Here is a 17,923-nt window from a genome sequence, read left to right on the forward strand (position 1 = left end):
GCCACAGAAGCATGAGGGCCACAAATACAGTAATTCACAAGCAGGACCTCTCGTTCTGAAGCAAATGTCCTGTTATGTGGGCTTTGACTATGTCCATTCAGACCATCACTCTCAATCTGTCTATCACCTTGGAAAATATGTATCGCCAGCACTAGAGCAACCTTAGAGAAGCAAGTTATTCAACCTCTCTATGGATTCGTGTTTTGCAGCACTTGTAAAAAGCGTTTGTATGAATGATGTAATAAAAATAATTTCGTTAAGATATGGAAAGTCCTCGGTGGGCTTTAGTACAGGATCTTTTCACAGATGTCACTATGCATGTTCCAGTCTCAATTATTTTAGTTACCTAATGTGGTCCCAGCTGACCGGAGAATCACTTCATTTGGCAACCTCAGGAAAATAATGCCTATGTGCCTCTGGAATTGATTGAATAACTGTTGTTCTATCTGCTTGGTTCTTCAATTTATTCACCAAAAATAAACTCTACATTGAGCATATCTATATTAAATGTTATAAAATCCTGTACCTAGACTGTGACTTTACTATAACAGTAAAACAAAATAGCTTTTTAAATGTTTTATTTTTGAAAAGGTAGTACATCCACATAGTACATAGTACACCCACATTTTCAAAAGCTATGAAAGGATACAGTTGTCTCCCTCTCAATTCCATCCCCCCAGCCACCACTGCCCCTTCCCCTCCCAAGGTAATCAGGGTTACCAGGTTCTCATGTCTCTTTCCAGAGATAACTTATGAATTCACAATTATGTACTTACCATTTTTCTCCTTTTTATATACAAATGGCAGTCACTGTCCTCAACCTTATTTTTCCTACCTAATAACATAAACTGAAGGTTATCCCACATCACTACATAAATGGTTTCCAAGTTCTCCTTATTTATTCATTGTTGTCTACCCAGGAGTAGGCTGTATGAATATACCACAATTTAGGGAACCAGAACCCTGATATGGTGTCATTTAAACAGCTTCCAATCTTTTGTTTTCACAAACGCTGCATTAATGAATACTGTATGTTCATCATTTTGTACATGTGTGAGTATGTACATTCCTAGAAGTGGAATTGCTGGCCCAAAAACCAAATGCATTTGTGGTTTTGATTACTTTTGAATAATTCCTCTTTGAATGAGAAGAGTTTTTCCTGGACTTGCTATTTGCTGGAGGTTCATGTGGGAAAAGAAACCAGGGCCACATTCTAAGCAGATCAGTTTTTTTTTTTTTTGACAACTGAGAATTTTTTCCCCCCACAGCTGTTCGTTCTTTCTGACTTTACTTCTCCCAAGTCAGTAAATAGGGGCAGCTGTAGGGCTCTTCACAAGGAAAAGTCCCTTCTCTTCCCCCAGCATGCCATAACTGTTGCTCCCATCAGTAGACTACTTTCTAAAAATATGGCTTGTCTGAGTGACTCCTTCTCGAGGCCCCAGCCTGTTTCTCCTCAGACCCCAAATGGTCTAGGAAACATCCTACCTCCTACCTGCCCACGCACTGTTACCACTGTTATATCTATGGTTCCGCGCCTCGGGGTATATCCCGAACCTCAGCTAAGAGTCCTTACCAGTGCTGTCTTGCACCTGCAGCCTTGAGCACTCTCACTCTGAAATCTCCTGCACCAGTGCTTCATTTCCTCTGCCTGTGGCAGCCCTCTCATTAGGGTTGCAGCTGTCTCCTAATTTTGTCAGATACAGAGATTACACTTCTGCTTTTTCTCCCGTAGCTTTTGGGTTATGACTGAGATGAAAAGAAGAAAGGCTGAATTTACTCCCATATTTAAACCACAAGTCAAAATATACTTTTAAAATGTGAGTAAAATTGACACAACTTTCTTTCAGTGTCCATAATAGATACTGCTGATTAGCTCTCTAATGTGCCATGAACTTTGACTTCCGAGTGTGGCCTCTTCCATGGGCTTTCTTTCCTGCATGGGTTCGCTGATGTACAATAAGGTTTGATTTTTGGGTAAAGGCTTTCCCACATTCTGTACATTTATAGGGTTTCTCTCCAGTATGAGTTCTTTGATGTACAGTGAATGTTGACTTTTCTCGGAAGGCTTTGCCACACTCAGTGCATGCATAGGGTTTCTCTCCCGTGTGCGTTCTCTGATGTATTATGAGCTGTGACTTCTGGCTAAAAGCTTTCCAACACACAGGACATTCATAAGGTTTCTCTCCTGTATGAATTCTCTGATGTATAATGAGCTTTGACTTTTCTCTGAAGGCTTTGCCACATTCATTACATTTATAGGGTTTTTCTTCTGTATGAGTTCTTTGATGTATAATGAGATATGATTTCTGTGAAAATGCTTTTTCACATTCATTGCACTCGTAAGGTTTCTCTCCTGTATGACCTCTCTGATGCAGCATGAGGTAGGACTTCTGAGAGAAGGCTTTCTCACATTCATTACATTCAAAGGGTTTCTCTCCTGAATGAGTTCTCTGATGTACACCAAGGTTTGACTTTTGCGTGAAGGTTTTTCCACACACATCACATTCATAGGGTTTCTCTCCTGTATGAGTTCTTTGATGCACAATGAGGGTTGACTTCTCATTGAAAGACTTCCCACATTCAGTACATTTATGAGGTTTCTCTCCCGTATGAGTTCTCTGGTGTATAATGAGAGTTGACTTATCACTGAAAGTTTTCTTACACTCATTACATTCATGGGGTTTCTTTCCTGTATGGGTACTATGATGTATAATTAGATCAAGCTTCTGTATGAAAGATTCTCCACATTTAGTGCATTCATAGGTTTTCTCTCCAGTGTGGGTTTTCTGATGGACAATGAGGTTGGACTTCTGAGTGAAGGCTTTTCCACATTCATTACATTCATAAGGTTTTTCTCCTGTGTGAGTCCTGTAATGTATGATGACAGTTGACTTTTCTCTGAAGGCTTTTCCACATTCAGGACACTCAAAGGGTCTCTCTCCTGTATGAGTTCGCAAGTGTATAATGAGCTGAGATTTTTGGCTAAAAGCTTTTCCACATTCGGTACATCCAAAAGGTTTCTCTCCCGTATGAGTTCTCCAATGTACAATGAGGTGTGACTTCTTGCTGAAGGTTTTCCTACATGCAGTACATTCAAAGGGTTTCTCTCCATTTTTAATTCTCTGATGTAGACTAAGGCCTTTCTTTCGCCTAAGACCTTTCCCACACTCTTTATAGCCATAGGGCTTCATTCCAGGATTTGTTTTCTCATACTCAGTATGGAAGAACAATTTTGCACATCCATTATCATATTTATTTTCTGCAGAACTTCTACTAAATAAGTCTAAATTATCTACCATATTATTTCCAAATGATTCGTGTTTATCGGGTCTTTGTATTGAAGCAACAAGGTTTGTACTCAGATGAAGTATGTTTCCAAACTCATGACAGTCACGAGCACTCTTGGTGATAATTGTTTTCTTGTCAGAAAATCCAACTTGCATCAGCAGACATTTATCTTGGTCATCCTGATGTTGCCTCTCAATCTGTTCATCAACTTGACAGACTTCTAGAAAGAAGTACAATAAACCACCTTTATGCTTTGACATTATGGAGCGGACCTTCTTTAGAATTATTCTGCCATATGAAAGCTGATACTATAATCTCATTTTATCAGAGTTCCTGGAGAGAGAGTTTTTTACTAAACTCTCACCTGCTGGTCTTTTTGTTACCAAGAACAATCTTACCCTGACACCTCAGTCTTTCTTACGTCTATTTATACATCATACCTGACTTCTATCAACTCTGCGAAACTTATACCCTTGATCTTCAGTTATCATATAAACTTTTTTTTTAAGAGACAGGATCTCAGCTCTGTTGCCAGGCTGGAGTTTAGGGGCAAAATCACAGCTTACTGCAGCCTTGACCTCCTGAGCTCAAGCGATCCTCCCACCTCAGCCTCCTGAGTAGCTGGGACTGCAAGCGCGAGCCACCACATCTGGCTAATTTTTGTATTTTTTTGTAGAGACAAGGTCTCACTATGTTGCCCAGGCTGGTCTCAAACTCCTGGTCTCAAGCAATCCTCCCGCCTCAGCCTCCCAAAGTGCTGGGATTACAAGTGTGAGCCATCACACCTGGCCAGTATCATATGAAGTCTTAACTGTACCTGACTTACAGAATTTCTGTCTAGGTGGAAATGCAACAGCATGATTCCCAGACTCATGTGTTACAATAGTTAACACTGAATCCACATTCTCAATGAATGAAAGAAAAATACAGAATGGTTAGCTTGACAAAAACAAAAAGCTAAAAATATTTGCCCAGTCTGGGTTCACCCGTGTATCCATCAAAGCTTGCATTCACAGTTCTTCAACACTACCTTCTCTGCTCCTGCCTATACGATTTCCACTAAAACCTCTGCCTATTCTGTACTCCAAACCCTTCTTCATGTTCCATCACCCACATAGCCCTGTGTTCCATATTTTGCTATATTCAGAATCTAGATAACTTTCAAGAGGCAGGTCAGTCTTTTCTAAAAAGCTTACTCTGATCTTCCTATATAACTTAAATTTTTATTAACTTCTAAAGTAGTCAGTCATCTGTATCACTCATTTAAACAGTTAAAATTGCAAAGCTTTGCCTTTAATTTCATCAATTGCAAGCAGCACATTATTTCACATTTTAACATCTCTGAATCCAGATGCATCTTACAATCAATGTCATAGGTTAACTGGTGGCAATTTTTCTTTCTTAGTGGTATGTCTTTAAATCTATGGCATCTTGAAGTTAATAAGATATGGCAAGTACTTTTTGTACATATGGTGAATTTTAAATCTTTTTTTATAGTTTACTTTTCTTCTTACTTTTCCCCAAATTTTTACATGAAAATTTTCAAGCATAGAAAAAGTTGAAAGAAGAGTACAGTAACTACTCATATTACCACTTAGATTCAATAGTGTTAACATTTTGCTATAGTGATACTGAATTTTAACATGGATTGTGCAGCTGTGGTTTTTCTTCCTGTGACTTCCTTTCTTTGGCTAGCTAAGCATTAGTTCTTAACCAGAGATGAACACAAAATCACATGAGGAACTTTTTACAAAATGCTCTCCATGGGACCCAAGCTCCACCAAAGATCTGCTGAATCTGAACCTTCTTAGGTGGTAAGAAGCAGTTTGGCCCATGTGGTTAGGGTCCTGGGCTCTCTAGCCCAGGAGAAAATCCTGGCTCAACCTTTCACTTGGTCTATGACCTCAGGCAAGTGATCTAAACTATTTGTATCTTACTTCTCCACCCATAAAGGAATTATAACAGTGCCCACCCAAATGGATGTTGAGAGAATTAAATTACTTACAACAGGGCTTGCAGGGTACACAGGAAGTACTTTAAATCATTTACCACCACTACTACTATTACAACTACTACTATTATGACTTTTAAGAATCACCACATTACTGTAAAAAGAAAGAGTATATTTATATATTTAACATGTTCTAGAATATTAAGTGAAAAATGGTGAATAAAACTGTGCATACACTGTTACCTGAGGCAGGAAACAAAGGGAAAAACTGGGTGATGCTGGAGGTTATTTTGAGCCATAGGAGAGGGAAGCTGAAGGGTTTTTAAAGTGTGTGTGGGGTGTGTGTGTGTGTGTGTGTGTGTGTGTGTGTGTGTGTGTTATGGTATAAGTTTCATCACTTTGCTTCTTTTATAGCAAGGAATGAGATGAGATCATTTGCTAAAAGAGAGGGAAAAACAACTTGGAGTGGAGGTTTGAAGGAAGCAAGAAAGGTGTTATAAGACATGGAATCAAACCTAAGTGTCCATCAAGGAATATCAACGGATAAAGAAAATGTCATCTATTTACACAATGGAATACTGTTCAGCCATAAAAAGGAATTAAATACTGTCATTTGCAGCTACATGGATAAGCCTGGAGGACATTATGTTAAGTGAAATAAGCCAGGCACAGAAAGACAAATACTGCATGATCTCACTCATATATGGGAGCTAAAGGAGTTACTCTCATAGAAGTAGAGAGTAGAATAGTGACCAGACACTGGGAGGTGAAGAGGGGAGGAGAGGATAGGGAAAGGTTGGTAAATGGGTGCAAAGATATAGTTAGATAGGAGGAATAAGTTTCCGTGTTACATTGCACAGCAGGGTGTCTATAGTTAACAATATAGTGTATCTTTCAAAATAGCTAAAAGAAAAGATTTTGAATGTTCTCCCCACAAAGAAACAAATATTTGATGTGATGAATATACTAATTACCCTAATTTGATCATGACACACTGTATATATGTATCAAAACATCACACCATACTCCATAAATATGTACAATTATGTGTCAACTAAAAGTAAAACTTTTTAAAATGTTTAAAAAACTGTGCATAGTAGGAAATGAATAAATATATATTCTTATAGGCTCATGTTGTAAAAAGTGATGGAAGAATAAACCTTTAAATTTTAATAAAGGTTACCTATGAGGAAGGAAGGAACGAAGGGAATGGAATGGAAAGGGAAAGAAGCTGGACTTTTCTGAATATACCTTGTTTTCTGTGTTGGACTTTGGAACCAATAAATCTTTTGTAACTATTTTATATAATCATAAAGCAAAACTGAACATAAAAGGATTCCTTAAAAATAGTAAATATTCTTTCTGCTGCGTTTCCTAATGACCATGCTGGAAAGTCTTGATTCTCAATGGCACCAAAATGATTACCTCAATTCATTCAACTCGCTATACACAAGCAACAGCCTCAAGAAGAATACTAACAATACTACTGTCAGATGTAAGATTCATAAATTAAAAACCTTTAAGCGCAAAATTTGATTTGGAAATATTAATTTGAACATGAGATATTTTTTCTGTAAAAAATGTATACATAATAGTTCCTAGCTTTGTCAATGAAAAGGCCTCAAAACAATTCTCTAACCTCTAAATCGTGGGCTTAAAACATTATTTTCCACTAAAAAGAACCAGAGCCCCTTGAAGAAATCACCAATTCTAGGTCAGAGGCAGGAAATATACAAAAGGAGCCTGGGACATGTTGTAACACCAGAAAGCAAGGAAGCTACCAAAGACTCAGGAGCCAACTTGAAGGAGATTCCACTGGCCAAAGATGGGACAGTGTCATGTGTAACATGGAAAATAAGACAATGGATTAAAACATAGAAATGTATACAGCCATAAGTCCATAAATGAGTCACAAAAAGATATAACTTAGTGGTCACCTTTGGATGATGCTACAAAATCAATTATTTTGAAAACTAGTAAATAAATGGAAAAGCTCAATCACTGAGCCTGTCTTTTCTGTACAATATGTAACTCATGGTAGCCAAATAATAGATAAGAAGCAATTTCTCTTTATAGAATTATTCCAGTGGGGCCGGGCACGGTGGCTCACGCCTGTAATCCCAGCACTTTGGGAGGCCAAGGCAGGTGGATCACAAGGTCAGGAGATCGAGATCATCCTGGCTAACACGGTGAAACCCCATCTCTACTAAAAATACAAAAATGTAGCTGGGTGTGGTGACATGCACCTGTAGTCCCAGCTACTCGGGAGGCTGAGGCAGGAAAATTGCTTGAACCCAGGAGGCAGAAGTTGCAGTGAGCCAAGATCACACCACTGCACTCCAGCCTGGGCAACAGAGCAAGACTCTGTCTCAAAAAAAAAAAAAAAGTTAAACATACAGTTCCTTTTATACCACCACATGGTATAATTCCAATCCTATGTATCTACCCAAAAGAAACAAAACATATATCACCACAAAAAATGTGTACATCAATGTTCACAGCACCATTATCCATAATAACCAAAAGGTTGAAACAAGCAAAATTTCCATCAATTGATGAATGGACAAACAAAATGTGTTCTATCCTAACAATGGAATTTTATTCCTCCATAAAAAGGAATGAAGTACTGATACATGGTACGATGCGGATGAACCTTGAAAACATGCCAAGTGAAAGAAACCAGACATAAAAGGCCACATTTTGTCTGACTCTATTTAAATAAAATGTCCAGAACAGGCAAAACCATAGAGACAAAATAGATCAGTGGTTGCCAGGGAGTGAGGGGAAGAGGGATGAGAATGACTGCTAGGGAGTAGGGGCTTCTTTTCAGTGTGATGAACACGTTCTAGAATTAGGTAGTGGTGATGGTTGTACAACTCTGTGAATATACTAAAAACTACTGAATTCTGTACTTCAAAAGGGTGAATTTTATGATATGTGAATTATATCTCAATAAAGCTACTTTTAAAAAATAGATAAGATGTTTTAGGAGAGCAAATCTGACAAATATCTAAACTGAATGAGAAGACTGGACTCAGGTTGTTCAATCTGAAATTAGAGCATTAGAGTCCAGGCCTGTGACTAACGTGGGCCTGGCTTTATATAAGTCGGTGACAGGTGAGAGTCGTGAAAGTGGCAAGGCCAGGGGGTTGTGGCATTTAAAAGACTCTTTCATACGGGACAAAAGGAACTGTGCAGAAACTTGCAGGTAAGCACCAACTTAAGGAGAGTGGCCTGGTGTATGGGGGACAGCGGGAGTGTCAGTTTTGTGTCTGAGGTGTTCATGTCCCTGTCCTCCAACAGTGCCAAGGGCCAGAACCTTTTCCTAAGATATTCCTGAAAGCCCTGTCAGAGGGCCTCACCTCTGACTAATAGGGTGGAACTTCATGTCCCCAGAGCCTGGGTCAAAATTCCACTTACCTGGAAAGTTCCAAAATGGGATTTTTCCTTCTGCCGGGCATTCTTCTACCTCCAACTTGAGGATGAGGTTTGGTTTGGTAACCTGCTGCCCTGTTGATGAGAAATGACAGTGATACCTCCTTGGCTTTCAGAGCCTCTGAGACAGAAGAAGTTACATATTGGGGGCAGCACAAGGAATCTATTGCTTGACATAATGGTAAAGTCAAACCATTTAACCTGCATTTTGAGCTCACAAACACTTTTTCAGGAGAGAAAAGAGGGAACTGAGAAAGGAAATGCCTTCCATTGGATGCAATAATCATAAACTGCAAAATTACCTAAGGAAGCTATTCTTACCCACAAAGACCAAGTTGCTGTAGGTCTCCAGCATCACGTCTCTGTACAGGGTCCTCTGTGGTGGGTTCAGGTACTGCCACTCCTCCTGGGTGAAATCCACAGCTACATCTTCAAATGTCACTAGCCCCTGTAATGGTACATTCCTTTTATTTTAAAATGCTGACCACTAGATGATGAGGATAAAATGCACGGGAACTTCTGATTGGGTTCCTGGTTCATCATGATGACTCAATATTGGATGCCTATTTCATATCAAGTTAGTGATCTACTTTGTGGGAGAATCACAAATCATGGTTAAAAAAAAACTAAGTAAGAGAATACTTGAGACAATGTCATTATCAGCACAAGGACAGACAAACAGTCCAGTGGAACTAAAAAGAGAATCCAAACATGTATGGACACCTGATTTATGACAAAGTTGGCACAGTAAAGCAGTAGGGAGAAGATGACCTTTTCAATAGATGTGGATGGGTTATTAGATATCTATATGGAGAAAATGAAATTTAACCCCTCTAGCCACACATAAAAATCAGCTACAGGTAAATCGTAAATCTAATGTGAGAGGTAACCAATTAAGTGTCTATAAAATAATACAGGAAAATGTTTTCATAAGCTTTGGAGTAGGGAAACAATTCTATAACAAAACATGAAAAGCACTCCTCATAAAGGAAAAGACAAGTGTTATAAGATCAAAAGTACTACAATGAAAAGGCAAGCCACAGATGGGGAAATTGCTGGCAATATTCATGAGGGATAAGGTATCGTATGTAGAATATATAAAATAATCCCCTCAAATCAATAAGAAACACACACAAAAGAATGGATAAGAGAAGTGAATAGGTACTTCACTGAAAAGCAAAACCAAATGATCTATGAACACAAGATAATGTACTCAACCCCATTAGCAATCAGGTAAGTGAAAAATTAAGCCACATTGAGACACCACTATACACCCACAAGAAAGGTTATAATTAAACAGACTAAAATAACATAATATTGTGTTGAAATGAGAACTCTTACACACTATTAGCAGGAATATAAACTGGTATAATCGCTTTGGTAACAGTTTGGCATTATTTACAAAGGTTAATGGTTTGCATATACCATGACCCAGCAATTCTACTCCTAGGTACACATCTTAGAGAAAATCAGGCATATGTGCTCTAGAAAACAAATATAAGGATGTTCATAGCAGCACTATTTCTAATACTAGATCACAGATAAAATCCAAATGTCCATCAACAGTAGAATGGGTAAATTGTGGCACAATCATTCAATGGAATGCTGTATAGTAATGAAAATGAATGAACTGCATGTTGTGAAGCAGGTTCACCTGCTTCGAAACTCGAAGATTGAAGAAACTCTTTTTAACCTTGGGTTAGACAAATATTTCTTAGATGTGACACCAAAATTCAAAAATCACTTGTTAAGAGATTAAAAAGACACAGAATGGAAGAAAATATCTGCAAATCAAATATCTGGCAAATAACTTTTATTGAGAATATATAAAAAAAACTTTCAAAATTAAAACAAAGTGGGCAAAAGAGATACTTCACCATGGGAGATAAACAGATGGCAAATAAGCACATAAAAAGATGCTCAACATCATTAGGCATGAGGGAACTGTAAATTAAAACCACAATGAGATACTACTACACACCTATTAGAATGGGGAAAAAACTGACAATACTAAGTGTTGGTGAGGATGTAGAGCAACTGCACCTCTCCTGTCATAAGCAGGAATGAATATGTATGTATATCTACCTTACAACCCTGCAATCCCACTCCCACGTTTATTTACCTCAGTGAAATGCAAACTTAGGTAAACCTAAAAGCCTGTACATGAACATTTATATAGCAACTACATTTTTAATGATCAAAACCTAGAAACATATCAAAGGTTTTCCAACCAGTGAATGGATAACAACCTGGAATCCTCCATACAATGTAATACCACTTGGCAATAAAAATGAGAGAACTAATGATTTATGCAACGACATGGATGAACTTCAAATGTATTATGCTAAGTGAAAGAAGCCAGACTCAAAAGGCTGCATACTGCATGATTACATTTATATATTACATTTATGGTAAATAAAAACTACAAAGACTGAAAATATATCTATATTTTCCTTGTCAACAATACTACTTCCCTGGTCAGCAATACTGTGCATATTGTCACATCTCAATGTGCTGGGAGGGTGACATGAAAGTGAACAACAGAAGCTTCATGGCTGGGACCCTCTGAGACCTTACCCTATGCATCACTCCCTTTGGTTGGTTCTACTTGTATCTTTTTGCTATAACAAAACTGTAATCATAAGCATGTACTTTTCTGAGTTATATGAGTCATTCTACCAAATTATTAAACCTGAGTGTATACCGAGAACCCTTAAGTTGAATCAAGGTGTGGAAGTGGAAGTGGCACCATTCACCATCACCCCTAGTGACCCACTAGCAAAATTTTTGCTTCCTGTTCCTGCAACATTATGTTCTGCCAGCCTAGAGATCTTAGTTCCAGAGGGAGGAATGCTGCCACCAGGAGACACAACAATGATTCCATTAAACTGGAAGTTAAGACTGCCACCTGGCTACTTTGGGCTCCTCCTACCTGTAGGTCAACAGGCTACAAAGAGAGTTATAGTGTTGGCTGGGGTGACTGACCCACACTATCAAGATGAAATCAGTCTAATACTCCACAACGGAGGTAAAGAAGAGTATGTGTGGAATACAGGAGATCCCTTAGGGCATCTCTTAGTATTACCATGCCCTGTGATTAAAGTCAATGGGAAACTACACCAACCCAATCCAGGCAGGATTACAAATGGCCCAGACTCTTCAGGAATGAAGGTTTGGGTCACTCTACTGGGTAAAACACCACAATCCATTGAGGTATTTGCTGAAGGCAAGGGGAATACAGAATGGATAGTAGAAGAAGGAAGTTATCAATATCAGCTATGACCACATGAGCAGTTGCAGAAACGAGGACTGTAATTGTCATGAGGATTTCCTCCTTATTTTGTTAAAAATATGTCTGTGCATGTTTACACCTGTATTAAGAAAATATCTTCATGTTATTTCCTTTTTCCTTTATCATGTGACATAAGATTTATTGACTTCATATCAGCACTTAAGTGTTGTTAACTTTATGTAACAGCAATTAGGCTAAGAATTAGTGTGCTTCCAGTTGTACGAGGGATAGCTGTATTATGTTAGGCATAATTACGACCTTATTATTGTCTTTACTTGAAGATTTATGTGTGATTTCAGGAGATGTGTACAGTTTTAAGTTGATAAGGGGTAGACTTATAATGGTTAATATTGAGTGTCAACTTGATTGGATTGAAGGATGCAAAGTATTGTTCCTGGGTGTGTCTGTGAGGGTGTTGCCAGAGGAAATTAACATTTGAGTCAATGGAATGGGAAAGGCAGACCCACCCTCAGTCTGGGTGGGTACCATCTAATCAGCTGCCAGGGCAGCTAGAATAAAGCGGGCAGAAGAAGGTAGGAGGAGCTGGCTTTCTGAGCTTCCGGCCTTCATCTTTCTCCCATACTGGATGCTTCCTGTCCTCAAACATTAGACTCCAAGTTCTTCAGCTTTTGGACTTTTAGACGTATACCAGTGGTTTGCCAGGGCCTTTGGCCACAGAATGAAAACTGCACTGTTGGCTTCCTTATTTTTGAGGTTTTGGGACTCAGACTGGCTTCCTTGCTCCTCAGCTTGCAGAAAACCTACTGTGGGACTTCACCTTGTGATCGTGTGAGTCAATACTCCTTAATAAAATCCCCCTCATATATTCATCTATCCTATCAGTTCTGTCCCTCTAGAGAACCTTGACTAATACAGAAGTCATTGCAACTTAATATACATAATGATTATAAAATAAAACAACATGTCAGAGTTTAGACCAAACATACCAGCCAAATCAATTAATGTTATTAGGCCTTAAGAAGGCTTATTAAAAGAAGATCTCCAGATTGACTCACAAGCAAGATCCAGCTGTATGTTGTATACAGGAAATACAACTAAAACAAAGTGATTCGAGAAGGCTAAAAGTAAAGGGATAGGCAATGGTCGACCAGACAAATAAATGGAAACAATAAGAAAGCAGAGGTTGAGATCCTGACATTATCCTTAGTCTAAAGATAAAAGGCATAAAAACAAATTGTGTATTATATTCAGTAGGTTGGTTTTCCACAGTGATGTGGGTGCAGCAATTCTGACTCTACTTTCTGTATATTGTAGACTGAACAAATGAATGAATTATTGATGCTAGGAACCAATGCTCTCACTGTTAAAGAAGGGAGATGCAAATATGCAACGAGGGATGACTAAGATTCCCAGGATGCTGTATGAACTCAAAGTATGTTTGTATGTGTGTGTGGTGTATGTGTGTACACATATAGATGTAGACATACAGATGTAGATATATATGTACATACACACATCTCTGTTCACCGAAAGGGCCTAGAAGTAACAATGCCCCAGCAGCAATGAGCACAGCTAGCACCCAGATTTTGGTTTCTAAATATAATTATCCATTAACAGGAACCAGAGCTCCTTGGAGAAATGGCTGATTCCAGGGCAAGTAAAGTTAAAGATGAAGGCTGGAACATCTTGTGCCAGAAAATAAGAAAACGCTCAGAGCTCAGAAATGGACCAAACCTACCAAAGCCTTAAAATTCCACTTTCAGGACTGATATAGTTTGGCTATCTCTCCCTCCAAATCTTATGTTAAAATGTGATCCTGGCTGGGTGTGGTGACTCATGCCTGTAATCCCAGCACTTTGGGAGGCTGAGGTGGGTGGATGATTTGAGGTCAGGAGTTCAAGACCAGCCTGGCCAACATGGTGAAACCCCATCTCTACTAAAAATACAAAAATTAGCTGGCAGTGGTGGTGCATGCCTGTAATCCCAGCTACTCAGGAGGCTGAGGTATGAGAATCGCTTGAACTCAGGAAGCGGAGGTTGCAGTGAGCTGAGATCACGCCACTGCACTCCAGCCTGGGCAACAGAGTGAGAGACTGCCTCAAAAAAAAAAATATGATCCCCAGTGTTAAAGGGAGGGCATGGTGGGAGGTGCTTGGGTAATGGGGATGGATCCCTCATGAATGGCTTGGTGCCATTCCTTTGGTGATGAGTGACTTTTCACTCTATTTGTTCAGACGAGATCCGGTTGTTAAAGAGTCTGGTGCCTCCCTCCCCCACTCTTGCTCCCACTCTTGCCATGTGACATACCTGTTCCCTCTTTGCCTTCTGCCATGAGTAGAAGCTTCCTGAGTCCTCACCAGATGCAGATGCTGGTGTCATGCTTCTTGTACAGCTTGCAGGACTGTGAGCCAAATAAACCACTTTTCTTTATAACTTTTTTTTTCTAAAGAAAATGTTCAGAAAATTATAGGGATGTCTCAAAACGACACAAAAGCCAGCTTAAAGGGACTCTCACTGGCCAACTCAGGGACAACTGAGCATCGAAATAAATAATGACAGTAATATTCACTGACTAAAATAAAAACCCATAAAAATAAAAATTTTCTATACCAGATTATAAATAAATAAAGGAGATAAAGAAGGTCTGCCTCATAGTAAAATGACAATAAATACAGAAGAAATAATAAGAGTTAGAAAATTGTCATTTGGCACCCATCACAATAACTGATTCAGGCAAGATTAATCAATGGATAATAATACTAATTGGTGAAAAGTTTGATGAAGAATGGGACAATTATGTAACCTCAAAGTATCATCCACAAATTAGTTATTAATTACAAAGGAAAAATAGTAATGTTACAGCACAGAAACGTGGTTAGTGAGAGAAACAAGTGATCAAAGTTAATATCATAAAAAATGAGACAAATTGGGCTGGGTGTGGTGGCTCACACCTGTAATCCCAGCACTTTGGGAGACTGAGATGGGCAGATCACTTGAGGCCAGGAGTTCAAGACCAGCCTGGCCAACATAGTGAAACCCCATCTCTACTAAAATACAAAAATTAGCCAGGCGCAGTGGCTCACACCTGTAATCCCAGTTACTTGGGAGGCTAAGGCACAAGAATCTCCTGAATGTGGGAGGTGGAGGTTGCAGTGAGCTGAGATGGCGCCACAGCACTCCAGCCTAGGCAACAGAGTGAGACTTCGTCTCAAAAAAAAAAAAAAAGACAAATTGACATCATATGCCCCTGATGTGATACAAGGATACATCACTTACATTTTTTTCCTACCAGAAATGCATGACCTCAATCAAACCATGAGGAATCTAAAGTGAGGGACGTTCTACAATACGGATGGCCTATGTGCTTTAAAAATGTCACAGACATGAAAAACAAAGAAATGCTGAGGAAGTCTTCCAGATTAAAATATAAAGAATATACACTGCATAATAGTATTATATCAATGTTAACTTTCTGAGTGTGTTCAGTGTAATTTAATGATATAGGAGAATGTCCTTGCTCTTAAGAAATTGAGGAGGCCAGCTCCTGGCTAAAACTCTATGTGTGATTTTTAATTATTAAGGCCTGACCAATGACAATTACAAAGACTTCAGCTGTCAGGCTTTGTAGGAGAAATCTGCCCCCACATCAGACTTGGAATATATAGCCAGAACGTTATAATCTCTAAAGAGACTGGCCAGCCCCACTCTTACAAATATCTGTATTCCTAGGCCAGGCACCTTCACTGGAGAATGATGATCATTAATTCAAATTTCTAGGTTTGTTCATGCCATTCCTGCTGATTATTGAGCCAGAGTAGCCTTCATCAGGAGGTCAGGTCAACTAGTCCACAACAAAATCCAAATCATAGCTGACAAATTCTCAGGCATTAAAAAAAACAGCAACTGACAAAATAATAAAAATTAATCACCAACATCTACAAATATATTTTTGTTGATATCTACAATATCAATAAAAATACAAATCAGGCACCCTCCCCTAAATAATATGGGCAAGAGCCTTCCTCCAAAAATCCGCGTCTGGTTACTCAATAACGGGGTCTCTAAGAGACTGACGGGCTTCTCACTAAAAAATTAATGGACAGGTACTGGGCTACACAGGGCTCAACATACAGCCTCATTAGGGTCTGCACAGTGATGACTAACATAAAGACTATCTGAAGTGGGTAGCAGGAGTAAGCTGTCATTATGCTATTGTGTCTGCCATTAACTCTCAAACTGTCACCCCCAAAATAAATGCATACATATGTGTGTATGCAGACACACACATACACATATACATACAGAAATAAAGTAAAAATAAATGTGGGAAAAGGTCAAAAATTGGTGAATCTAGATGAAAGCTATATAATCATTCATTGAACTATTCTCGCAGCTTCTCTATAGGAAGTGGCTAGCACATGTGTAAATTTGGTCAACCTCATTAATAAATAAATGAAAATGAGCAATCATCCATCAATTATATGATTGGCAAGGTATAAAAACACTGATAATATATGCTTGTGGGGACAATATTCAGAAACAAGCATTCTGTTGCACTCTTGGTGACAGCATGACCTTGTTAAGCCTTTTTAGAAGAGAATTTGGCAAGTCCTGTTAAAAATTAAAACAATTTCTTCATTTCAGAAATTCCAGTTATAGGAATCTGTCCTACAGAAATGTCTCCACAAGAATACAGACATGCACATTCATTCCCTTCCTAACTCTCTGTGATAAAACAAAAGTGGAAGCACCCCAAAATTCTATCAATAAGGGAACAAATAAAAGAAAAATGATGGTTTATGCTTGAATTATAATTGTTATGGGTTGAATTATGTCCCCCCAAAATTCGTATGTTGAAATCCTAACCCCCAATGTGACTATATGTAGAGGGAGAGTCTTTAAGGAGGTAATTAAGGTTAAATAAGGCCATAAGGGTAGGTTCCTCATCCAAGAGGACTGGTGTCCTTATAAGAAGAGAAAAAGACACCAGAGGTCCCTCTCTCTCTCTCTGCACCCAAAGAAGATAGGCCATGTGAGGCCACAGCGAGAAGACAGCCCTCAGCAAGCCAGGAAGAGCAGCCTCACCAGAAGCCAACCCTACTGGTGCCTTGATCCTGGACTTCCAGCCTCCACAGCTGTGAGAACACAGATTTCTGTTGTTTAAACCACCCAATCTCTGGTATTTTGTAATGGCAGCCTGAAATGACTAATACAATAATCTTCCGCAACTGTTAAGAAGGAAAAGGTGACCACACTTTGGTTACTCATTTGATGAGTATTTGTTAAATTACCACACTGAGTGAAAACCACGAGGTGGCAAACTATACTTACAAGCCTTCCTTGTTCCATATAAATGGATATTAGATAGAAATGGTAGACTTCTAGTCCTGACATGATGGCACAGACTCCTCTTTCCCTGCTCTTCCCCACTAAGTACAACTATAAACCCTGAAAGTGATGCAAGAGACAACCAAAAGAGGACTCTGAAAGGAGGAAAGTGGAAAGCACACAGGTTAGGGACCCAAGGACTTAAACAGTGGCAGGACATCTTATGATCCCCCCACCCCAACAACGGAAGGCAACCCAGGCCTGTGTCTCTAAACCCCCAACCTAGCAACAGAACACAGCCTAGGTAGTCTCTGTCTTCCCCCAAATCAGCAGGAGTCCTTCCAACAACACCAGACAAGCCTGTGACACCAGCAAAGGAGATTAATCTGGAGCCTTGCTGACAATAAGCAGCCACCGGAAGTGCTTCTTCTTCTCCACTGAGCCTGAGACTTCCTTCCCCTATCTAGACACTCCCTCTCCACTTCAAGACACCTGGCAGTCAGGTAGGACGGCAGGGGGATCCCCACACAACAAGCACCCAGCCAGGAAATGTTCTTCATCCCTGCTGGCCAAAAAATTGGCTCTCTCACCCAAAGAACAGACACCATGCAGATGCAGCAGGGGAAAATCTGGACACAACAGGCACCCAGCCAAGGAAGCACTGTTTG

The 17,923-nt window shown here is 39.3% G+C and overlaps 1 protein-coding gene across 3 annotated transcripts in view; it reads right to left on the minus strand.

Annotated features, from left to right (window-relative positions):
* ZNF182 (zinc finger protein 182) overlaps window positions 562–17,923 on the minus strand; it is a 29,139-nt gene continuing 11,777 nt past the window's right edge. For 2 of the 3 annotated variants that reach the window (NM_006962.2, NM_001178099.2), the window contains exons 4-7: window positions 14,235–14,328; window positions 8,996–9,122; window positions 8,660–8,749; window positions 562–3,508 (exon numbers count right to left, since the gene is read on the minus strand). In NM_006962.2, the coding sequence (NP_008893.1) occupies window positions 1,878–3,508; window positions 8,660–8,749; window positions 8,996–9,122; window positions 14,235–14,306 (1,920 nt within the window). In that variant the 5' untranslated portion in view covers window positions 14,307–14,328 and the 3' untranslated portion in view covers window positions 562–1,877. The remainder of the gene's footprint in view (window positions 3,509–8,659; window positions 8,750–8,995; window positions 9,123–14,234; window positions 14,329–17,923) is intronic. The other variant, NM_001007088.2, reaches the window with a different exon arrangement.

The sequence above is a fragment of the Homo sapiens genome, chromosome X, assembly GCF_000001405.40.
Source record: "Homo sapiens chromosome X, GRCh38.p14 Primary Assembly".
NCBI lineage: Eukaryota > Metazoa > Chordata > Mammalia > Primates > Hominidae > Homo > Homo sapiens.